The following is a 23,573-nucleotide window of genomic DNA, read 5'->3' as shown; positions in this document are numbered from 1 at the left end:
CCCCAAGTGTGGTGTGGGCCCTGTGCCCCTGAAGCAGCAGCCGCCTGCAGGGTAGCTTCTCTCCAGGGCCCGCGGGACTTGCTTCCCTGACCTGGCATGCACATAGCAAAGTCCACTCAAAAGCTCACTTTTAGCCAGAATTTTTGAGGCAGCCTCTCCCTACCTGTTCTTACCAGGACACCATCCCCCTGCTCAGGTGCCACTGCTTACCCGCTCTGTGGTGGGCCTCTCTGGTCCTGATGCCAGGGCTCGCCCTCAGCTCTCGTGCGCCTGCACCCGCCCTTCTCACTGATGTCACGGGTCGCCTTCCAAGCTGCCAGCAATGCCAGCTGCTGGCCATCTCCAGCCCACCCATCCCTCTTATCTCACTCTCATTTCCATCTCCCTTGGGCTAGTCGTCGAGGCAGAAAGCCCGGGCCACGTCCCTCCTACGTAAAAGGTTCTGGCCCATCCAGGCCCACTTGGGGGAATAGATGGTCCAGTTCAACTTGACCAGACTTCAGATAAGCCCAGTTCTTCTGAGGAGCCAGCTGTGCTCACCTGTCCTTGCCAGCCCCCTGACTGAGTTCTCCCAGGCGTCTTGTGGCAGGGGCTCTGGGCTGCTCCAGCTGCAGGACTGGGGCAGAGTGTGTCCCCATGGGCGCCCTCCTTGCTTCCAGGCCAGCCGGGCTGGGCCTGTGTCTAGAACCAGCTCCCCAGCATCCTGAGGAACGCGAAACCTACTCAGAAACACGGCTGAGGGCGGCGAAGAGCTCTCCTGATGTGTCGGGAACCGTGGGCTTGGGGCACGGGGATGTGCTGGGTGGCTGCCAGTGGCGTCCTCACTCCCACCTGGGAGAAGAGAGGAGTGAAGAGGAGAGGTGGGAGGTGAGAGGCACCGGGCAGGGCGCTGTGTGTGGCTCCAGCCCTCTCTGGCCCTCTGCACCTGCCCCAAGGTATGCGACTCACACCACAGTGGTGTCATTTGTTTTAATTTGAACAGATGTTTAGAAATTGGGATATTTTAGCCTAAAATCAGCTTCTGGCTTTTCTCGAAATATTAGATCTGCAGTAGGTGCTGCAGCTTGGATGGCAGCAGACCCTGGGGCCAGGAGCCAAGGCCCTGAGCTGTGAGGCCGACCTCACTCCCCACCACATCCCCTGCTCTGAGGCCACCCAGAACCCTGTGCTGCAGTAACATAGTAAACACTCTTGGGATAAAATGCTTTTAGTTTTTTTAAGTTTTCTGCTTTTTGAAATATTAATTTGTTTGGGGAGGTTTTTCTTTATAACATTTTTATTGAGGTGTAATTCGCATAAGTGAAACACAAGCTCCTAGGTGTTCCCGTGGTGAGTTTTGGCAGGTGCAGGCGCTTGTGCAGCCACACCCACGTCCAGCGGTCCAGGTTCTCCTTTGCACTCCCCTCCAAGCCCCTCCCCGTCACCGTTCAGATTCCCCACCCTCCATCCTTTCTGCCTGGTCTCGAATTTCATCTAATTGGAATCATAGAATATATACGTTTTTGTCTGGCTTCTTTCTTTTCGCGCAGTGTTTTCAAGGGACACCTGATTGATTTTCATTTCTAGTCTCACTGCATTGTGATCAGACAGTAGACTTCTTTCTGCTTTCTGGAACTTACAGGCTTTCTTTGACCATTTAGAAGGCCAGTTTGCATGACTGTTCCAGAGGAACTTGAAGAAGGCATTCCTTAGTTTTGTTTTTGTTTTTGTTTTTGTTTTTGTTTTGAGATGGAGTTTCGCTCTTGTCACCCAGGCTGGAGTGCAATGGTGCAATCTCGGCTCACCGCAACCTCTGCCTCCCAGTTTCAAGCGATTCTCCTGCCTCAGCCTCCCGAGTAGCTGAGATTACAGGCATGCACCACCACACCCGGCTAATTTTTTGTGTGTTTTTAGTAGAGACGGGGTTTCATCATGTTGGTCAGGCTGGTCTCGAACTCCTGACCTCAGGTGATCCACCCACTTCAGCCTCCCAAAGTGCTGGGATTACAGTCGTGAGCCACTGCGCCCGGCGGTATTCCCTAGTTTTAAGCTACAGAGTTCAATATGTATCAGTCAGAACTACCTTATTAATTATATTATTTGGGAATTTTGTTTTATTTGTATTCATTCAGACTTAGAGGTGAATTGCAATTTCATTTAGTTTCTTTCTCTCGACATCTTCGTGTGTCATCAGTAATTTCTGCTTTATAGATGTTGCTGTGCTTGGTGCATGAGTATCCCTCACGGTTACGTCTTCATTGTGCATTCTGCCCTTCATTCGGGAGAGCCATTCTTTGTCTAGTTCCATGCATTTTACGTGATGCTAAGATTGGGAAGCCTGCTTCCTTATTGCTTATTGCCCAGCTTTCTGGACTCTCTCTCTGAATTGCTTTATTTTAGGTGCATCTCTCATTTACAGCAAAAGAGGTGAGGGTCTTGCTTTGTGGTCCAATCTGAAAAGCCTTTTTTTTTTTTTTTCTCAAGGCAGGGTGTCTCTCCAGTTGCCCAGACTGGAGTGCAGTGGCGCGATCTTGGCTCACTGCAGCCTCAACCTCCTGGGCGCAAGTGATTCTCCCCACCTACCCTCCCAAGTAGCGGGGGCTACAGACACGCACCACCATGCCTGGCTAATTTTTTTGTATTTCTGGTAGAGATGGGGTTTCACTATGTTGCCCAGGCTGGTCTCGAATTTCTGGACTCAAGCAATCCACCCACCTCGGTCTCTCAAAGTTATGGGATTATAGGTATGAGCCATCATGCCCGGCCTTGAAAAGCTTTTTCATATGTAAGTTCAAGCATTTTTAGTCTTGGTTCTGTCATCTTATTTTATATTATGCTTGTTGTGTTTTACTTTTTTTTGTTTTGTTTTTGTTTTGTTTCTGAGACAGGGTCTCGCTCTGTCACCCAGGTTGGAGTGTAGTGATGTGCTCTCGGCTCATTGCGATCTCTGCCTCCCAGGCCCAAGCGATCCTCCCACCTCAGCCTCCTGAGTAGCTGGGACGACAGGCACGTGCCACCACGCCCAGCCAATTTTTTGTAGTTCTGGTAGAGACAGTGTTTTGCTATGTTGCCTGGGCTGGTCTCAAACTCCTGAGCTCAGGCAATCCACCCTCCTCGGCCTCCCAAAGGGCTGGGATTACAGATATGAGCCACTGCAACCGGCCCAGTTTTTAAAATGAAATCTTCCACTGCTACTTCATTTGTAAGCCTCTGTGGTGTCAGCTCTCAGGGACAAGACCAGTGGGGAGTTCTGCCCCTTCAAGGGTCCTATGAGTTGAGTGTCATGCCTGTACGACCAGGCATCTACCACCTATAACCAGTTTTTTTTTGTTGTTTCTATAACCGCTTTTTTTTTTTTTTTGGCTTAGTACATTCAGTGTTTACGGAGGTTTCTTTCCGCATCATTTCCCTATTGTCTCCTGATGACATCCAGCTGCTGGTAATGTCCTCAGGGAGAAGACATAGAAACAAAGCTCCTTGGGTGCCAAGGGTTGAAAACTCCATTCCTGCACTGTCGAAAAGGTCTAGAGAGTGAGTCTCTTATGTAGTTTAATATTTTCTAATAGCTACATTAAAAAGGTAAAAAGAAACAAGTGAAATCGATTTTAATAATATATTTTATTTAACCCGATATTATCTAAAAATTATTTCAACAGGCAACCACCCATACTATAAGATTATTGAATTATTTGAAGACTTTTTGGACTGAGTTTTCGGAATCTAGTTTGTAGCTCGCACTCACTGCACGTGTCAGTGAGCCAGCTCACGCGCCTGCAATCTGGAAGGATCGCTGTGGCCAGCCGTAGCATCCTTGCCACTCACCTTCCCTCCTCATGCGCCTTCTACGTGTGACTCTAGCGTCTTCTGCCACAGAACGCAGCTGTGGAGAAACACTGACCCACGTTCTGTCTCTGTAGATGTGTGTGTTCTGCACCTTTCACAGAAATGGAATTGCAGAATATGTGCTCTTTTGAGCCTGATTGCTTTCATATGGTGTGTTGTCAAGGGCCATTTGAATTGCAGCTTATATTAGTGCTTCATTTTTATGGCCAAATAACATTCCATTGTCTGGATATACTGCAGTTTGTTTACTCATTGGTTGACGGACATCTGTGTTGTTTCCACTTTGGGGCTGTTGGGAATGGTGCTGCTGTAAACATTCATGGGCAGCGTCCTGTGGGGACAGGTGTGTCATTTCTGCTGGGAGTGCATGTCTCCAGGAGTGGCAGTCCTGGGCCACTGCTCCACACTTAACCTCTCAGGCACATGCCAGATGGTCTTCACTAGGCTGTGCCAGTTCACGTCCCCATCAGCAGTGTGCCAGGCGTTCCCGTCCTTCTAACTTTGTTTCCATTTCTCTATCTTTTGTCTTTTTTTTTAACTCATTTCTGTCCTCTGTGTTCCGCTGTGTTTCCCGGTGTTTGTTTCTCCCTGTGCTGCTTCCAATCTCCACTTCATTTGGGTGGTGGCTTGATTTTTTTTCTTTTACTTTCTCGACTTCTGCCAGGTCATGTTTCACCTTCTCCTCTTTCCTTGCCGTTTCTCTCCTGAGTTCTTACATGTTTAGTTAGTGGTCTTTCTTCATGGAGCAGCTTCATTCAACTACTCGGGAGGCTGAGGCGGGAGAATCACTTGAGCCCCAGTGGTCTAGGCCGCAGTGAACCGTATTCATGCCACTGCACTCCAGCCTGGGTGACTGAGCAAGACCCTTTCTCTTAGTTTCACCTTTGCCCCATCAACATTTTGCAGTTTGTATGTTTTGCTGCTCTTGTTCACACTTGGTGTCTTGTCACCTTTTGTCCATCTCTGAACTCAGGCAGTGTCTTAGAGTCCATTAGTCCATTGCTGGAGAAGCAGAAGGTCTTCAGGAGCAGCATGCCTTTCTTTCTTAATTTTTTTTTTTTTTTTTTTGGAGACAGAGTCTCACCCTGTCACCCAGGCTGGAGTGCAGTGGCACAATCTCGGCTCACTGCAACCTGTGCCTCCGGGGTTCATGCCATTCTCCTGCCTCAGCCTCCCTAGTAGCTGGTACTACAGGCACCCGCCACCACGCCCGGCTAGTTTTTTATATTTTTAGTAGAGATGGGATTTCACCATGTTGGCCAGGCTGGTCTCGAACTCCTGACCTCAGATGATCCACCCGCCTTGGCCTCCCAAAGTGCTGGGATTATAGGCGTGAGCCACTGCGTCCAGCCGGCAGCACCCCTTTCTTTCGGAGTGGCGCATTACTTCTCTATGGCGGGTGGTGGGTAACCCTGCATGGAGGCCAGCCTGGGCCTTCAGCACCTGGGCGAACACCTGGGGTGTCCTGGGCAGACGCGTGGGGTGCCCTGGGCCTGCTGTTTGCAGGAGCTCCCTGTGGCAGAGCGGGGGCCAGAAGAGCCTCCAGGCTTCCCAAGTCCAGGGCTCCCCACTCCGCCCCAGGCCTCTGAGCCAGGCCAGACCCTGAGGCTTCTCAGGGGCCACCCCCCCAGCTCCCAGAGGCCCCTCCTGTCCTCCAGCGAGGCACTGACCCACCACTTCTCACAGCATCCGTATGTGTGTTTTGGTGGCTGTGGGTTGTATCTGTGACCTATTTTCCCTCAAAATCAAGTTCAGGGAAAAGGTTTTTTCGTTATTTTTGTTTTTTTTAATTCTTGGGAGGGAAGGTGATAATATTGTTACTTACCTGAGAGTCCCCCTCGGAGACCCCCAGAAGCTGGTTTTAAGGGAAGAAAGAGTAAGATCCCTTTCTGTGTCTCTGTCTCTGGCCCCGTCTCTGGCCCCATCCCCGTGTCTCTCTGGCCCTGTCTCTCTGTCTCTGTGTCTCTGTCCCCGTCCCGTCTCTCGCTGTCCCTGGCTCTGTCCGTCTTTCTTCCCCATTTAAGGAGCGCCTCCTCTCCGGTCCCCTCTGAGGAGCGCTGGATGGAGGACAGGGCCTCCCGGAGAGGACTCCACGGTGGGTGGTGGGAGGGAAAGACCAGGGGGAGGCAGAGGCTGCCGGTGAGAGGCGTCTGCCAAGTAGATGAGGGGCCGGGAGAAGACCCCGTGGCTGGGGAAGCAGGAGTGGGGAGGGCGGGGCCTCCGGGCCGAGGGGCGCGGTCGCTGTGGTCTGTGGAGGGGCTGGCGAGGCTCCCGCCTCTGCTCTTGCTGGAGCTCTTGAGTGAGCCCTGTGACGCCTGCTAGGTGAGGTGGCAGCCAGTGAGCGCGCCCCACCGCCCAGCGCCGCCCAGCCTCCGCCCTGACTCCTCTGCCGCTCCCCAAACAGGGCGCGGTGGCGTGACCCTGGCGCTGGGGGGCGAGCGCGGCCCTCCCGGTCCCGCAGGCGCAAGAGAGGGCGGAGATGCGGCGCCTGAGGCGGGGCTGCGCTTCCGGGGCGGGGCCGGCGGAGGCTGGAGGGGGCCGCCCGGGAGCAGAGGCAGGACTTGCGGCGCGTGCCCCTCACCCTAGCCCGGGGCTGTCCTGCCTCGTGGGGAGTGTGAAGGCCATGCCCGGCGCCGCGGCCCTGGTGCCCCTGTTCCACTGGGACCCTGGGGGGCGCCGCCAGGCCCCTTGGCCTCTTCCTCGGGGCCCTCGGGACCCAGGGGCCGGTGGTGGCCGTGCCGGGGACTCGGGCGTGAGGGGTGGAGATCGCGGCCCCGGTGCAGCAGCTCAGAACCTGGACTCTGGATCGCTGCTCCCCAGCGCCCGGGGTGCCGCTTCCCACAGGGTTCAGCTCCCATGCAGGCTGCGCTCACCAGTGGAAGTGGGTCCACCCGGTCCCAGGAGAGCCAGAGCCCCGTGGCAGTCGCTGTGGGGTGTGCTCCGCACAGGCCAGAGAGCCGGCCCAAAAACCTGAGGTTTGCAAAGCCTCTTTCTTTCTTTTTTTTTTTTTGAGAAAACGTCTCTGTCGCCCAGGCTGGAGAGCAGTGACACGACCTCGGCTCACTGCAACCTCCGCCTCCCGGGTTCAAGCAATTCTTGTACCTCAGCCTCCCGAGTAACTGGGATTACAGGCGTGTGCCACCACGCCCGGCTAATTTTTGTATTTTTAATAGAGACAGCGTTTCACCACGTTGGCCACGCTGGTCTCAAACTCCTGACCTGAGGTGATCTGCCCGTCTCGGCATCCCAAAGTGCTGGGATTACAGGTTCAGTGAGCCATTGCGCCCGGCCCAAAGCCTCTTTCTTTTCAGTGCTGAGCTGGATAAAGTCTACCAAACTGAAAGGTCTCCAAGGCTATAGCTGGCTGTCTGAGAAATTATGGTGTTTGTTTAGCCCATCTTAGGACTTGGGCTATCCCAGGTGACTGAGTTTTGCTGTTTCACACCTCCCAAGGTTCTTCTCATTCTTCCTTTTCTCCATTAATGGTAACTTGTCTTCTCAATTGCTCAGGCCAGAAACCTCCGTTACCATCTTTTCTTACGTGTTTCACATCCAAACCATCAGCACATCCGGGTGGCTCTGCCTTCAAGATAGATCCAGAAGCTAGGTCCTTTCCACTGCCTCCACCACGGCCACCTGGCCCAGGCCACCCTCCTCTGCCACAAGGGTTTTTGCCATTGCCCTCCCTGGCTTCCTGTGGTTGCAGTCAGAGACCTCGTCCCTCCCACTCAGCCTTCTCGAGGGCTTCTGTCTGCTCAGAGTCAAGGTCACGGCCCTTCCGAGGGGTGAGGATCTCCTTCCCCTGGCCACACTGGCCTCCTGTTCCTCTCCAGCAAGACCAGGCCTACGTACCCAGGACCTCCGTCTCTGGCACTTCCACCTGGTCTGCTCTTCTCCAGGGTAGCTGCAGGGACCCTGATCCCCTGCCTGGTCTGTGCACACTTCTCAGGGAGGGTGTCCTTGTCCCTTTTGGGTAGGTTTTCACAGTGCCCCAACAGCCCTGTCTCCCTTTCTGCCTCATCTCCTAATGTACATTCAGTTCTGCATCATTCACTCATTTCTTGTGTATTGTCTGCCCTCGCTAGGATGTATGCTCCGTAGGGATGTATGACTGTTCCGTCAGCTTCTCCCTGGAAGAGTGTCCAGCACGTTGAATGATGAAAGAATTGATCAGCTATGATAGATCACAAGCCTCGTTCCAGAGGCCACACATTGGATTCAGAAGCTTCTATTCCTTATCTCCGTGAAAGATTGCAACGAAAATCTTGATTTAAAAATTCTCTTATTGTCTAATTAGGAAAGTTTTATTGAAGTCCAAATATTCCCATCCTCACCTTCCCACTTTTCACCGGGAGTCTGAGGAGGAAATACTGATATAAAAAATTTTTAAATCATCATTTAAGAAAAACAAAAAAGGAAATACTGAAAGACCACAGGCCAGTCTGGAAAAGGAGCGGACTCTCCCACTCTCCTGCTTCAGGTCACCTATGTTTGCCCTGTGCAGCCAGCAGGCAGAGTGCTCATTACCTGCTCTCCACCCTCGGTTCTCACTCTGGGCCCCAGGGCTCGGCCACTGGGCCAGGCCACATGTGCGGCCCTCCTTGGTTCCAAGCTGTTCTTGGACGTGGTCTCCTCCACCCCCAGAGCCTTTGCTTTCCTTTCCCCCGATCTTCTTTTCCCAGACTTCCTGGAATTTATAATCCAAAGGTTGTGTAATTTCAGAAGCTGCGATGGTTCCAAGAACTCCTGTCCCCGTCAGTCCGTCTTCTGCTTGCGCGGGCCTGGAGGAGACACTGGGGGTCAGTCCTGATCCCGTCCCCATCAGTCTGTCTTCTGCTTTTGCGGGCCTGGAGGAGACGCCGGGGGTCAGTCCTGATCCTGTCCCCGTCAGCTGTCTTCTGCTTGCGCGGGCCTGGAGGAGACACTGGGGGTCAGTCCAATCCTGTCCCCATCAGTCCGTCTTCTGCTTGCGCGGGCCTGGAGGAGACACTGGGCATCAGTCCGATCCTGTCCCCGTCAGTCCGTCTTCTGCTTGCGCGGGCCTGGAGGAGACACTGGGGGTCAGTCCTGATCCTGTCCCCGTCAGTCCGTCTTCTGCTTGCGCGGGCCTGGAGGAGACGCCGGGGGTCAGTCCTGATGTGCAGGCCGGTCTCTGTGCTTGGGCATCTTTGGGCTCCGTAGATGAGGCTTGTGCGGCCACAGAGCTGCTTCTGTCCCTGCTGCTGCTCCTGGGTGTCAGTGTCCGTTCTGTCAATTGAAGCACTGAGACTTGAGGGTTAAGCAGGCCTGGGAAGCAGGTCTTTGGGATTGCCTCTGGGGATCAGTCCTTCTCTTCCAGCGCCCCTGATGGGTAGCATGCAGTGGGGCTTTCCTGTGGTCCCCGCACAGGTCTCCCTTAGAAAATGAGTAAGAGCAGGGCCCGTGCATCCAGCCAGGGTGAGGGTCATGTGAGTGAATCCTGAAAAGCCGCTCGGGAGCACCCAGTCCTTGCTGAGCGAGGCAGGAAGCAGGGGTCCCTTTGAGTTCGCCCAGCAGAACAGCCAACCCAGCGGCCCCTCCCTGCTGTCCTGTCACTGCACCCCCACCTCTGAGTTCCAGGCCTGTGGTGTCATCCTTCACACTTAGTGGGATGAGAGACTGAACCCCACAGGAGACCTTCTAAAGGGGTCTCCTGGCCACTACACAGGCTGCTGTGAAGCCCCAGCCCCTCCTCAGGGAAGCGGGGTCTTACTTCCCTTTTAAACCCCGCCTGCCCCTGGGCCCTCACACTCTGGCTGCTCCGAGACCCTGCATCCCCTTTCATTTTCTCCCTGATGCTCTTTGTCTCCTTCACACACTCTTCACGCCAGGGCACCGTGCCTCCCGTGTGAGCTGCTTTCAGCCTTGCTGTAGGACATGGAGGACCCCTGAGCTATTTGGGGTCACAAGGAAGCTGTTAGTATGTGGTTCTCATATTCTTAACTGTACAAGAAAGCAAAAGCCCCTTGAGGTCCCTCAGTATCCCTTCCCACCACCTGCACCCCACAGGTGGAGAAATTGCCTGCTTTTAGGGAGATAGCAGTGTAGGCCTCTTTGCTTGCGCCCTGCCTGGCCCCTGTTGGATCTCTTTTCTCTGCAGGAACTGCAGAGGCTTCTGAAGCTGGATCTTTCACTATGACATTTACAGTTGCTTGACCATTTTCTCCCGCTCTTGACAGGTCCCCCAGGATTAGCTGTGGCCACCAGAAGCAAGCGTCGATATGGAACGTGCATTCTGCTTAAAGCTCAGCAAGGCATGGTTGGAGGGAGGCCACTGATAGTCTCATTCTTTTGTCCTCAGAGCCCCCCAAGATGAACCCAGTGGTGGAGCCACTGTCCTGGATGCTGGGCACCTGGCTGTCGGACCCACCTGGAGCCGGGACCTACCCCACACTGCAGCCCTTCCAGTACCTGGAGGAGGTTCACATCTCCCACGTGGGCCAGCCCATGCTGAACTTCTCGTAAGTTGTCTCCCTCCACCCCACCCTGCTTGACTCATGGGCCGCCTAGGTCTCTGAAAATAATTCCAGACTGATCAAAGACAAAGGCCAAGCAGGAAGGTGTAAAAGGAACTTGTCCATCTATTTCAGAAAGGTGTCCTCTTGCCTGAATGTGCAACTGAGACACAGAGTGGTAAAAATGATACTTTCTGGTTCTGTTATATTTTTGGAGATATTAAGCTGACCACCAAATTACAGGCTTGTTAATCCAAACATAAAAACAAATGCATGTACTTAATTTATGTATCAAAATTAATCACCCTGGCCAGTGCGGTAGCTCATACCTGTAATCCCAGCACTTTAGAGGCTGAGTCAGGAGGATTGCTTGAGCTTAGGAATTGAAGACCAGCCTGGGCAACATAGTGAGACCTTGTCTCTACTGAAAAGTATTTAGCCAGGTGTGGTGACACATGCCTGTAGTCCCAGCTACTCGAGAAACTGAGGTGGGAGGATTGCTTGAACCCAGGGAGGGCCAAGGCTACAGTGAGCTGTGATCATAACACTGTACTCCAGCCTGGGTGACAGAGTGAGAACCTGTCTCAAAAAAAAAAAGAAAAAAATTAGTCACCCAATATTACTGAAAATAATAGTGCATGTTTGTATTTTACACGTACCCCTGAGCTATTTGGGGTCACAAGGAAGCTGTTAGTATGTGGTTCTCATATTCTTACCGTACAAGAAAGCAAAAGCCCCTTGAGGTCCCTCAGTATCCCTTCCCACCACCTGCTCCCCACAGGTGGAGAAATTGCCTGCTTTTAGGGAGATAGCAGTGTAGGCCTCTGAAGTAGAGGAGAGCCACCAGGGATGGGGAGTGGTTGAAGTATCTTTATTTTTTAATTATAGAAGTAATACACAGTTTTTTTAAAGTTTAAACAAAATATAAAAAGCAAACCCTCCCTTAGTCTCCATTACACAACTATATGTTAAGAATCTTATTAAACCAACTTGGTACTATTTGTATAATGCCTAGCAGTTTCAGAACGGGGCTGGGCACCTGGCTCTCAGACCCCCAGCTCTGAGACCCTCCATCCCCTTTTAGAAGATCTCATTGTTTTTAAAAATATCTCCTACCTTTTTATATTATTATTGATTGAATGCATGAGGTCAAAGTAATACATCTGCACATAAACCAAAAGGTGAGAATTCTGGGTAATACAAAATAACCCAGAACCCAAGCAGTCTTTTTTAAACTATAGATTATAACCCACGAAAAGGTCAGAAAGTCAATTTTGTGACTAGCATTCGAAGAAAAATGAACCAGAGTGGAAAATATATTTCAGTAAATGTGATGGTATGTGTGTTTGTGTGTGTGTCCTAGAATATGGTATAAATGTATTTCTTTGTCGGGGTTATGTTAGTGAGCATGTACCATTCTAGAAGGTGTAGCACCATCACTAGCCCAACAGAAATTTATCTTGGCCCAGCGCGGTGGCTCGTGCCTGTAATCCCAGCACTTTGGGAGGCCAAGGCGGGTGGATCACTTGAGTCCAGGAGTCCAAGACCAGCCTGGGCAACACAGTGAGACCCTAAAAAAATTTGTTTTAATAAATAAATAAGTTTATCTTGGCCAGGTGCGGTGGCTGACGCCTGTAATCCCAGCACTTTGGGAGGTCAAGGCAGGTGGATCACTAGAAGTCAAGAGTTCGAGACCAGCCTGGCCAATGTGGTGAAATTGTGTCTCTACTAAAAAAAAATACAAAAATACAAAAATTAGCCGGGTGTGTGGCTGGGCACAGTGGCTCACACCTGTAATCCCAGCACTTTGAGAGGCTGAGGTGGGCAGATCACCTGAGGTTGGGAGTTCAAGATCAGCCTGACCAACATGGAGAAACCTGGTCTCTACTAAAATTACAAAATTAGCCGGGCATGGTGGCGCATGCCTGTAATCCCAGCTACTCGGTAAGGCTGAGGCAGGAGAATCGCTTGAACTCAGGAGGCGGAGGTTGCAGTGAGCCAAGATAGCGCCATTGCACTCCAGCCTGGGCAACAAGAGAGAAACTCTGTCTCAAAAAATAAATAAATAAATAAATAAATAAATTAGCCGGGTGTGGTGGGCGCCTGTAATCCCAGCTACTCAGGAGGCTGAGACAGGAGAATCATTTCAACCCAGGAAGCGGAGGTTTCACTGAGCTGAGACCGCGACGAGCCTGGGTGACAGAGCAAAAAAATAAATAAATAAAGTTTATCTCTAAGAATCATAGAGATGGATTCCCTATAGAAACTCATAAGGTTGGTGAAATGATAAATGAGGCTTTTTTTTTTTTGGTTTGGTTTTTTTGTTTTTATTTTTGTAGAAACAGGGTCTGTGTTGCCCAGCCCTGTCTCAAATTCCTAGGCTCAAGAGATCTACCCGACTGGGCCCCTGAAGTGCTGGGATTACGGCCTTGAGTCACCATGCCAGCGAGTTAGTTTTTAAGCCGTGGTTTTGTGCCCTCAGTTCAAGATGCAGGTGCCTGTCTTTTACTGTTGAGAATTTGCACTAATGATGAAGGGTGATAAGAAACCATACCATAACTCAGCACCTGTTCTGTTTTTTACCGTAGGAATTGATTAGATTCTTACACAAGAGCATAGCTCAAAAGAGAAAGATTGTGTTAGGGTGAGGTTTACTGCAAGGGAGTGCTGAGGGCTGACACTGTGTGAGGCCTGGGCTAACGGGCCCAGGGCAAGGATATGCCCTGAGGTGATTAAGAACAGTGCTGTCTTCAGGAGCTGAGGGTCAGCAGGCAAGACAGACACAGCCAAAATGAGCAAGGTGGTGGAGGGGGCGGGCAGGTGTGCGGGTGTGGCTGGAACAGCCCGTCTTCAGGAGCTGAGGGTCAGCAGGTAAGACAGACACAGCCAAAATGAGCAAGGCGCTGGAGGGGGCGGGCAGGTGTGCGGGTGTGGCTGGAACAGCCCGTCTTCAGGAGCTGAGGGTCAGCAGGCAAGACAGACACAGCCAAAATGAGCAAGGTGGTGGAGGGGGCGGGCAGGTGTGTGGGCGTGGCTGGAACAGCCCGTCTTCAGGAGTGGAGGGTCAGCAGGTAAGACAGACACAGCCAAAATGAGCAAGGTGGTGGTAGGGGCAGACAGGTGTGCGGGTGTGGCTGGAGCAGCCACCTGGAGGGCACCCTGGACAGTTCTGGCATCCACGCAGCCCACGCCATCTTGGAGGCCAGTGCCTGGGCTTCTCAACTCCAACTTCCCGTCCAGGTTCAACTCCTTCCACCCGGACACGCGCAAGCCGATGCACAGAGAGTGTGGCTTCATTCGCCTCAAGCCCGACACCAACAAGGTGGCCTTTGTCAGCGCCCAGAACACAGGTGAGGCCCAGCTTGCGGGGCGGGAGGGCTGGCCATGGGAGGCTGCTGCCTGCATTCGAAGCAGGGGTGCAGGGATGCCCATGTGCAACCCTGCTGAGGCATGTGCTGGTGGGGACCGTGGGGATGGCCCTGAGTGTTGAGAGTGGTCCTGGGAGCCTGCGGGGCCGACTGTGTAGCTGTAGGGGCCTCCGGCACACAGGTTGTGTGCGTGCAGCCCCCTGACCATGAGGGCCCGTTTACCCAGTGCCACGTCTGCAGAAATGGCCATCAGCTGTGTGCATTCATTAGGAATTGCTGGAAAACAGGTTGGGCACAGTGGCTCACGCCTGTAATCCCAGCACTTTGGGAGGCCTAGGTGGGCAGATCACTTGAGGTCAGGAGTTCAAGACCAGCCTGGCCAACATACTGAAATCCCGTCTCTACTAAAAATACAAAAATTAGCTGGGTGTGGTGGTGCATGCCTGTAATCCCAAGCCACTTGGGAGGCTGAGGCAGGAGAATCACTTGAACCTGGGAGGCAGAGGTTGCGGTGAGCCAAGAATGCGCCACTGCACTCCAGCCTGGGCAACAGAGCGAGATTCTGTCTCAAAAAAAAAAGAAAAAAAAAAAAACCAGCCTGCGTGACTCTAGATCAGTGTTTCTTCCTGGACGTCCATTCCCACCTGCGACTTCTGCCACTGTATGTGCTAGGGGTGGTTCTGCCAGGCTGATTGGTGGGTGGAGGTGGGAGGGCTGGGGCCCAGTCTGGAGAGGGTGGCCTTCCATAGAGCACCTGCCTGTTCTGTGAGGAGAGTTGTGGCTTTCCCTCCGTATCCACAGGGTGAAGTGGGGAGGAGGAGAAATATCGTTGCTTCCACAGCTGCAGAGTTGGGGCCTCCTGTGGAGTCCCGGCTTGCAGGCAAGGAGAGTCAAGGCTGCCTCTCTGCAAGCCGAGCAGCTGCTGGGTGAGCTGACTGCCCTTCCCTTGCAGGCGTGGTGGAAGTGGAGGAGGGCGAGGTGAACGGGCAGGAGCTGTGCATCGCATCCCACTCCATCGCCAGGATCTCCTTCGCCAAGGAGCCCCACGTAGAGCAGGTGAGCCCAGCCCTGCTCCCAGCACGCTCCTGTCTTCTGTTTGCAGCGGTCTGTGGAGTCAGCCTCTTCCTCTTCCGTGAGGTAGTGCGTGTCTTGCCACTGTGTCTCACAGGCCTGTCTTCACTGTCTCCTTCTTTTCCCTTCTCGGACCATCCAGGGTGGATGTTCCCTAAATTCATTGCCCCCTCCTCGGCTGGTCAGTGGTGTGGTTTTTTTGAGGTTTGTTGTTTGTCACAAACATCCTTTTGCATTTGGGTTGTCCACGTTTACAGATATATCCATATCTATTGATAAATTTTTCCCAGTTAAATTGCTGGATCAAAGGACAGGTACATTTTAAATTTGATACACACTGTTAGATTGTATTTCTTCATGATTATCCTCCCACTATCTCTTGCATGAGGGCAGCTGGTTCCCTACTCCTTAACAACATGGTGTATTTTCAGAATTTCGGTCCTTTCAAATCTGAGAAATAAAAGATGAAATCTCACTCATGTTTTGAATCTAACTTAGAAGCAGGAGGGCTCATTCCCCATGCTCACTGGCTGTTTACGCTTCTTATTCTGTGCACTTGATATTTAAAGTCTTTGCCTGTTTTTCTGTGGATTGTTCTTTTTTGAGGCGGAGTTTCGCTCTGTTGCCCAGGCTGGAATGCAAAGGTGGGATCTCGGCTCATCGCAACCACCGCCTCTCAGGTTCAAGCGATTCTCCTGCCTCGGCCTCCTGGGTAGCTGGGATTACAGGCATGCGCCACCACGCCTGGCTAATTTTGTATTATTAGTAGAGACAGGGTTTCTCCATGTTGGTCAGGCTGGTCTTGAATTCCTGACTTCAGGTGATCCACCCGCCTCAGCCTCCCAAAGTGCTGGGATTACAGGTATGAACAACCGTGCCCGGCCAGATTGTCCTTTTTTTTTTTTAAAGATTTGTAGGAGCTTTCTGTATGCCATGGGTTAATCTGTTGTCTGCTTTATTTGTGACACATACTTCCCTAGTCTGTGGCCTGGTCCATGATGGGCTGTGCCCCACAGGTGCTCAGCTTTCCTGTTGTTGCCTCTGGGCTGTTTCCTTTACAATGTCTGGATTTGGGTTCTTGCTAAGGAAGTTGTTGTCCACTCCAAAATGATAAAAATATTCTCTCATTTTCTTTCTTTTTTTTTTTTTTTTTGAGACGGAGTCTCACTCTGTCACCCAGGCTGGAGTGCAGTGGAGCAATCTCGGCTCACTGCATGTTCTGCCTCCTGGGTTCACGCCATTCTCCTGCCTCAGCCTCCCGAGTAGCTGGGACTACAGGTGCCCGCCACCACACCCAGATCATTTTTTTGTGTTTTTAGTAGAGACGGGGTTTCGCTGTGTTAGCCAGGATGGTCTCGATCTCCTGACCTTGTGATCCACCTGCCTCGGCCTCCCAAAGTGCTAGGATTACAGGCGTGAGCCACCGCGCCCAGCCTGTTCTTTCATTTCTTGTATTCTTACAGCTTTCCTTTTTACATTACCACCTAGACCTTTAATCTCTCTCACATTTGTTTTTTGAGTGACGCAGCGTATAATTCTAACTCTTCCAGATGAGTGACCCAGTAGTCCCAACACCATTCATCGAATTCCATCCTGACTCCACAGATTTGGAATGTCATACATACATTAAAGCACATCCACATAAATATAGGGGTCTGTTTCTTTTTTTCTTTTTTCCTTTTTTTGAGAAGGAGTCTTGCTCTGTTGCCCAGGCTGGAGTGCAGTGGCACAATCTCAGCTCACTGTAGCCTCCACCTCTCGGGTTCAGGTGATTCTCCTGCCTCAGCCTCCCGAGTAGCTGGGATTACAGGCATGTGCCACCATGCCCAGCTAATTTTTGTATTTTTAGTAGCCATGTTGACCAGGCTGGTCACAAACTCCTGACCTCAAGTGATCCGCCTGCCTCAGCCTCCCAAGTGCTGGGATTACAGGCATGAGCCACTGTGCCCAGCCTCGTTTGTCTTTCTTCGTCTGCTTGTCCACTTCCTTACCAGTAACACATTTTTAGCTCTCACAGCTGTATATTACATGTTAATGTCTAAGGGAACGTTTCCCACATTTTTTCTCCAAATTTTCTTACTCATTCTTAAGCATTTCCTCTTCTAGATGAACTTTTGAATAAACATCTCAAGGCTTATAAAATGTACATCAAGACTGCATTGAATACATGAATGAATTTGGGTAGAATTGACATATTTTCATGGGTAGCAATATGCAGCGTGACAGTGTATTACGGTGACTTTAGGTCATGTTTTGTGTATTTTAGTATATAGAAAAGCTTTATTTCTTTATAGTTTTAATTATACAGGTCTTGTACATTTCATGTTAGGGTAAACTCAAGTGTTTTATCATTTTTGTTGCTTGTAAATAGATTTTTTCCCATTTAATCTTCAGATTGATTATTGATAATTGTGTGGACACTTCTGATTTCTCTGTGTTGAACTGGGCCACTGGTGTAACTTTCAGACAGCCAGGATCTTAGGCACAGCATGGATAGAACAACAGGCGTGAATGTTTGTTGCATGCTTGTCCCTGACTCTAGTGGAAATAGTTCTGTGTGTCACCACCTGTAAGATGCTCACTGTAGATTACTTACTGGTAGATAAGAAGGTAGCTTTTTTTTTTTTTTGAGACAGAGTCTCAATCTGTTGCCCAGGCTGGAATGCAGTGGCACGATCTCAGCTCACTGCAACCTCCGCCTCCTGAGTTCAAGCGATTCTCATGCCTCAGCCTCCCAAGTAGCTGGGGTTACAGGCATGCACCACCACACCCAGCTAATTTTTGTATTTTTAGTACAGATGGGGTTTCACCATGTTGGCCAGGCTGGTCTTGAATTCCTGATCTCAAGTGACCCACCCGGCTCAGCTTCCTAAAGTGTTGGGATTGGGCATGAGCCACTGCGCCCAGCCGGATAGCCTTTTTTTTAGTTGTAAAATTTTTCTACTTTTTTTTTTTTCCAGTGCAGGTGCGTATCTTGGTAAAGGCAGTCTTTTTCAGGTTAAGAAGATTCAGTTTCTAGTATGCCAAGAATTGTATTCAGAAATGAATTTTGAATTTCATCAAATGCTTTTATAACCTGTTGGGGATGAATCTGTTTTTCCCCCTTGTCTTCCTCTTGAAGCTGTTAATGCAGTCCTCACTGCAGGAGGTGAGTGGCCAGCAGGTGAGTGGGCATGACCTCCTGAGCTCCACCTCCTGTCCATCAGGTGGCAGCATTAGATTCTCATAGGAGCACGAACCCTGCTGTGAATTGTGCATATGAGGGATCTAGGTTTTGCTTCTAATGAGAATCTAATGCCTAATGATCTAAGATGGAACAGTTTCATCCCAAAACCACCCCCACCCCCACAGCTGTGGAAAAATTGTCTTCCATGAAACCAGTTCCTGGGGCCAAAAAGTTTGGGGACTGCTGTAATAAATTATATTAATAGCTCATCAGTGTTGGATCATGGTTGTTTTTGGGGGATAACCCTGAGTTGTCATGATATGTTGTTTTTAGACATCATTGTCCATTTTGGTATTGGAGTTATTCACAGGCTAGCTGGGAGCTTCTTAGCTTTTGCAAATGTTCTCTGGCAAAGGGTGGCCCCGTGGGAGTTGGTCGGCCTCTCTGGGAAGGTATCTGGTAACCAGACCTAAGCTGTGCTTTTACTTTGTTCCGTGACTGCTTGTCTCTCCACGTTCTTACTTGGCTCCATCTGCAAATTCATGTTCTCCTGCAAAAGTGTCCGTTTCATGAGATTTTCAGAATTTTTGGAAGAAGTAATAGATACTGTTTTCTCTTGATGTGCTGTTCTATGTCACTTCTCTTTTACTGATGTTTTGTGTGTGTTTTCTCTTTTTCTTGATCATACTTGTCAGAGGTTATCTATTTTATCAGGGTTTTTTGTTTTTTTTTTTTTGTTTGCATGTTTATTTTTGCTAAATAACTAGATTTGGGTTTTATTAATTTAACAAAAAGTGGCTCTTTTTCTGCAAATAGAGGGAGGAGACAGAGACGATGGAGTTGCGAAGCCTGGGCATGGCGCTTAGGGGAAGGCTCTGTGCCATGCAGCCCCTGCACCCTGGGGGCTTTGGGGACCTCTACCGAGCGACTTAATGGACAGAAGCTGGAAGCACAACCTGAGGGGCTGGGCCTCCCCATTGGGTTGACATCAGCAGGACTGAGGAAGCCAGGAAGCACACACAGAAGGCAGGGACCTTGAGGCTAGAAGGAGAGCAGGAGGCAAGAAGAGCTGGGTCTTGGAGGGCCAGTCCTACTAGGCTTGTGCGGGGGTGAAAGGAGCTGTCCCTGTTATTACAGTGTTGGGGGAATTTCCTGGGACTTTGTTTGTAGCCAAATACAAAGTCAGTGTTTATCATCTTTCCAATATGTATTGGGGGAAATGTGTCTTCCTTGTTAGGTTCAGAGTTCTGTAGCTTTATGTGCTGCATAAAGAAGTTTTCCAGCTGGGCGCAGTGGCTCACACCTCTAATCCCAGCACTTTGGGAGGCTGAGGCAGGTGGATTACCTGAGGTCAGGAGTTCGAGATCAGTCTGGCCAACATGGTGAAACCCTGTCTTTACTAAAAATACAAAAATTAGCCAGGCGTGATGGCGGGCGCTTGTAATCCCAGCTACTTGGGAGCCTGAAGCAGGAGAATCGCTTGAAACTGGTAGGCAGCGGAGGTTGCAGTGAGCCGAGATCGCGCCACTGCACTCCAGCCTGGGCGACAAGAGCGAAATTCCATCTTGGGGAAAAAAGAAGTTTCCTTCAGTGACGGACTGACAGACCCCACTTATGATGGTCAGGCCATAAGATTGTAATGGAGCTGAAAAATTTCTCACTTCATGAGTGAAAGAAGCCATCTAATGTAGCACAATTACTTTTTAAAAATAAAAATATGTTTATAAATTTAATGCAGCCTAACTGTACTGTATTTATAAAGTCTATGGTAGTGTACAGTCATGTCCTAGACCTTCACATTCACCCATCACTCACTCACTGACTCACCCAGAGCAACTGCCAGTCCCGCCAGCTCCACTCATGGTGCCTGCCCCAGACAGGTGGACTTTTTGTTGTTGTTGTTGTTTTTGAGACGGAGTCTCGCTTTGTGGCCCAGGCTGGAGTGCAGTGGTGCAGTCTCGGCTCACTGCAAGCTCTGTCTCCTGGGTTCACTCCATTCTCCTGCCTCAGCCTCCTGAGTAGCTGGGACTACAGGTGCGCGCCACCACGCCAGGCTAATTTCTTATATTTTTAGTAGAGTTGGGGTTTCACCGTGTTAGCCAGGATGGTCTCCATCTCCTGACCTCGTGATCTGCGCACCTCTGCCTCCCGAAGTGCTGGGATTACAGGCGTGAGCCACTGCGCCCGGCCTTTTTTTTTTTTTTTTGGAGACAGAGTCTCACTCTTGTCGCCCAGGCTGGCATGCAGTGGCATGATCTCGGCTCACTGCAACCTCTGCCTCCCAGGTTCAAGTGGTTCTCCTTCCTCAGCCTCCTAAGTAGCTGGGATTACAGGCTTATGCCACCATGCCTACCTAAATTTTATATTTTTAGTAGAGACGGGGTTTCACCATGTTGGCCAGGCTGTTCTCAAACTCCTGATGTCAGGTGATCCACCCTCCTCAGCCTCCCAGAATGCTGGGATTACAGGCGTGAGCCACTATGCCCCGCCCCAAGTTGCTTTTAATTTTATGTTTGTTTGTTTGTTTGTTTTGGTTCTGGATTGGATCTTATAGGCCACCTTTAGATGTCTGGGGTCCCTTGGACCACCCCCAGCCAGGTTCACTGGGAGGCCTCATAGGACGTGGCAGGAGCTGACTTATTACAGCGGAAGGACATGGAGCACGGTCAGCACAGGGCAGGGCACGGGGCAGAGTCTGGAGGAAACAGGTGTGAGCTTCCAGCATCCTTTCCACGTGCAGCCCACGGGACGCGCTCCATTGCCCAGCATCGCATTGTAGCGACAGGAGTGAAATGTCCCAACTAGGGAAGCCCTTCAGAACCTCAGTGCCCAGGGTCGTTCCGGGGCTGGTCTTACAGCAGCCTCTGCCTGGTTCTTGCTCCCAGTGTCTGGGCACAGCTGAGGCCCAGATTCTCATGTCACCCTCTGCTGGTAGAGGGAGGCACAGTTGCCTCGGTACGGGGAGCTGGTGGTGGAAGCTGGGGAGTGACTGCTGCTGCCTTGTTTGTGTCCATGTTTGTTTGCCATATACCTGTCACTCAGCATGTCTCATGTATTTCTTCTTCTTTTTTTTTTTTGAGACAGAGTTTCGCTCTTGTTGCCCAGGCTGGAGTGCAGTGGCGCCATCTCAGCTCATCGCAACCTCTGCCTCCTGGGTTCAAGCGATTCTCCTGCCTCAGCCTCCCGAGTAGCTGGGATTACAGGCACGTGCCATCATGCTGGGCTAATTTAATATTTTTATTAAAGATGGGGTTTCTCCATGGTGGTCAGGCTGGTCTTGAACTCCTGACCTTAGGTGATCCGCCCAGCTCAGCCTCCCAATGTGCCAGGATTACAGATGTGAGCCACTGCACCCGGCTGTCTCATGTATTTTTAACAGCTCTTTAAAGATATAATGCAGGGCTGAGTGCGGTGGCTCACGCCTGTAATCCCAGCTCTGTAGGAGGCCAAGGTGGGCATATCGCCTGAGGTCAGGAATTCGAGACCAGCCTGGACAACATGGTGAAACCCCATCTCTACTAAGAATACAAAAAAATTAGCCAGGCGTGGTGACAGGCACCTGTAATCCCAGCTACTGAGGAGGCTGAGGCAGGAGAATCGCTTGAACCTGGGAGGCAGAGGTTGCAATGAGCTGAGATGGCGCCACTGCACTCCAGCCTGGCGACCGAGCGAGACTCTGTTATCAGAAAAGAAAAAAAAAGATCTTCACATACTATTCAGATCGCTCACAGTGTGCAATTCTGTGGTTTTTAGTATGTTCACAGCACTGTGTACCCATCACTACAGTTAATTTCAGAACATTTATCTTCTGTGGCACAATCATAACTCACTGCAGCCTCAACCCCCCTGGACTCAGGTGATCCTCCCACCTCAGCCTCCTCAGTAGCTGGGACTGCGAATGCGCACCACCACACCTGGCTCATTTTTTTGTTTGTTTTTGATTTGGGGTTTTTCTTTAAGAGAGGGTCTCATTCCATCACCTAGGCTGGAATACAGTAGCAAGATCTTGGCTCGCTGCAACTTCTGGCTCCCAGGCTTGAGCGATCCTCCCACCTCGCCCTCCCAAGTAGCTGGGGCCACAGGTATGCACCAGCATGCCCGGTTTTTGTTGTTGTTGTTGTTGTTTTGTTTTGTTTTGTTTTTTGTATTTTTAGTAGAGATGGGGTCTTGCCACATTGCCCAGGCAGGTCTTGAACTCCTGAACTCAAGCAGTATACCCACCTGGGCCTCCCAAGATGCTGGGATTACAGGCATGAGCCACCTAATGAGCACGGCTACTTTATTTGTAGTTTTTGTAGAGACAAGCTTTTGCCATGTTGCCCAGGCTGGTCTCGAACTCCTGGGCTTAAGCAATCCTCCTGCCTTGGCCTCCCAAAGTGCTGGAATTACAGGCATAAGCCACAACCCCTGGCCAGAACATTTTTTATACCCCAAAAAGACACCTGGTACCCTTTAGCTGTCAGCCCCAACTTCCATCTCCCCCAACCCCTGGCTACCACTAATCTTCCTTCTCTGTAGATTGCCTGTCCTGAGCATTTCATAGAATTGGGGCCATAGACTGTCACTTAGTGTAAGGTTTCCAGAGTGTATCCAACTTGGAGCATGCCTCAGGCCTCACTCCTTTTCATGACTGAATTATTCCATTGGTGATGTGCTGTATTTTGTTTATCCATTCCTCATTGATGGGCAAGTTGTTCGTTACTGAATCTTGGCTGTTAAGAAGAATACTGTGCCTCGCGTGGTGGCTCACACGTGTAATCCCAACACTTTGTGGGGCTGAGGCAGGAGATCACTTGAGCCCAGGAGTTCAAGACCAGCCTGGACAACATAGCAAAACCTGGTTTCACAAAAAATACAAAAAGTAGCCGGGCTTGGGGAGGCATGCCTGTAGTTCCAGCTACTTGAGAGGGTGAGGTGGGAGAATCGCTTGAGCCTGGGAGCCGGAGGTTGCAGTGAGCAGTGATTGTGCCACTGCACTCCAGCCTGGGTGACAGAGTGAGACCCTGTCTCAAAATAAATACATGAAATAATACTGAATTGCCTCTGAAACACATTTTCAAGCAAACCTGCTGTTTTCAGCCTTCATCCACGGCCACTGGTAGAGACACTCAGGCCACGCCACGGAGCTTTTGTGGGGTGTTAAGGCAGGCTGTTCGCCTGTCCCCAGTGCTGCATTCAGCCTCGGCCTTCCTGGGTCGGCTGTGTCGGGTCCCCGTGTGCGTCTCATTTCCAGCCCCTCACGTTCTGTGGCTGTGTGCCGCCTCCCATCTTTCTCCTGCGGATTCATGCTGTGGACAGCATTCCTTCACTGCCATTCCAGTCGGGGGCTGTTGCAGGAGACACAGTGCTGTCCTCACCCGGGAGGCCTCACCTCAGAGCTCTGTGCCGGCTTGCTGGGTGAGCAAGATTTTCATCTACATTTTACCGTTTTTTTTAATTTTTTACTTTTTATTTTATTATTACTTTTTTTTAGACAGAGCCTTGCACTGTCGCCCAGGCTGGAGTGCAGCAGTGCGATCTCGGCTCACTGCAGCCTGCACCTCGTGGGCTCAAGCGATTCTCCCACATCTTCCTCCCAAGTAGCTGAGACTACAGGCGTTTACCACCACTCCCCGCTAATTTTTTGTATTTTTAATAGAGATGGGGGACTCACTTTGTTGCTCAGGCTGGTCT

General features: G+C 50.8%; 1 protein-coding gene across 5 annotated transcripts in view, besides 6 other annotated features; it reads left to right on the top strand.

Annotated features, from left to right (window-relative positions):
• Positions 1-23,573, top strand: part of THAP4 (THAP domain containing 4) — a 53,172-nt gene that overhangs the window by 20,962 nt on the left and 8,637 nt on the right. For 3 of the 5 annotated variants that reach the window (XM_017004256.2, NM_015963.6, NM_001164356.2), the window contains 3 exons: positions 10,142-10,301; positions 13,536-13,645; positions 14,616-14,719. In XM_017004256.2, coding sequence (XP_016859745.1) covers positions 10,142-10,301; positions 13,536-13,645; positions 14,616-14,719 — 374 coding nt within the window. Of the gene's footprint in view, positions 1-10,141; positions 10,302-13,535; positions 13,646-14,615; positions 14,801-23,573 lie in introns of all 5 variants that reach the window. The other 2 variants (XM_011511291.3, XM_005247016.5) reach the window with 1 other exon arrangement.
• Positions 257-1,063: an enhancer, noted in NCBI's record as "H3K4me1 hESC enhancer chr2:242554967-242555773 (GRCh37/hg19 assembly coordinates)". NCBI's record gives its function as "activates a minimal SCP1, AML or CMV promoter by ChIP-STARR-seq in naive H9 embryonic stem cells {active_cell/tissue: H9 hESC(naive)}" and the evidence as "EXISTENCE:reporter gene assay evidence [ECO:0000049][PMID:30033119]".
• Positions 5,336-5,856: an enhancer, noted in NCBI's record as "H3K27ac-H3K4me1 hESC enhancer chr2:242550174-242550694 (GRCh37/hg19 assembly coordinates)". NCBI's record gives its function as "activates a minimal SCP1, AML or CMV promoter by ChIP-STARR-seq in primed H9 embryonic stem cells {active_cell/tissue: H9 hESC(primed)}" and the evidence as "EXISTENCE:reporter gene assay evidence [ECO:0000049][PMID:30033119]".
• Positions 6,054-6,623: a silencer, noted in NCBI's record as "silent region_12546". NCBI's record gives its function as "represses an Ori minimal core promoter by ATAC-STARR-seq in GM12878 lymphoblastoid cells {active_cell/tissue: GM12878}" and the evidence as "EXISTENCE:reporter gene assay evidence [ECO:0000049][PMID:35858748]".
• Positions 6,073-6,573: an enhancer, noted in NCBI's record as "H3K27ac-H3K4me1 hESC enhancer chr2:242549457-242549957 (GRCh37/hg19 assembly coordinates)". NCBI's record gives its function as "activates a minimal SCP1, AML or CMV promoter by ChIP-STARR-seq in naive H9 embryonic stem cells {active_cell/tissue: H9 hESC(naive)}" and the evidence as "EXISTENCE:reporter gene assay evidence [ECO:0000049][PMID:30033119]".
• Positions 6,574-7,075: an enhancer, noted in NCBI's record as "H3K27ac-H3K4me1 hESC enhancer chr2:242548955-242549456 (GRCh37/hg19 assembly coordinates)". NCBI's record gives its function as "activates a minimal SCP1, AML or CMV promoter by ChIP-STARR-seq in naive H9 embryonic stem cells {active_cell/tissue: H9 hESC(naive)}" and the evidence as "EXISTENCE:reporter gene assay evidence [ECO:0000049][PMID:30033119]".
• Positions 7,982-8,151: an enhancer, noted in NCBI's record as "experimental_58008 CRE fragment used in MPRA reporter constructs". NCBI's record gives its function as "activates a minimal promoter by MPRAs in K562 erythroleukemia cells, with activity observed for both the introgressed and non-introgressed 2:242547964 variant alleles {active_cell/tissue: K562}" and the evidence as "EXISTENCE:reporter gene assay evidence [ECO:0000049][PMID:34662402]".

Source organism: Homo sapiens, chromosome 2, assembly GCF_000001405.40.
Source record: "Homo sapiens chromosome 2, GRCh38.p14 Primary Assembly".
Taxonomy (NCBI): Eukaryota; Metazoa; Chordata; class Mammalia; order Primates; family Hominidae; genus Homo; species Homo sapiens.
Note: the sequence above shows the minus strand (reverse complement) of the source record. Positions and strands in the feature narration are given on the sequence as shown.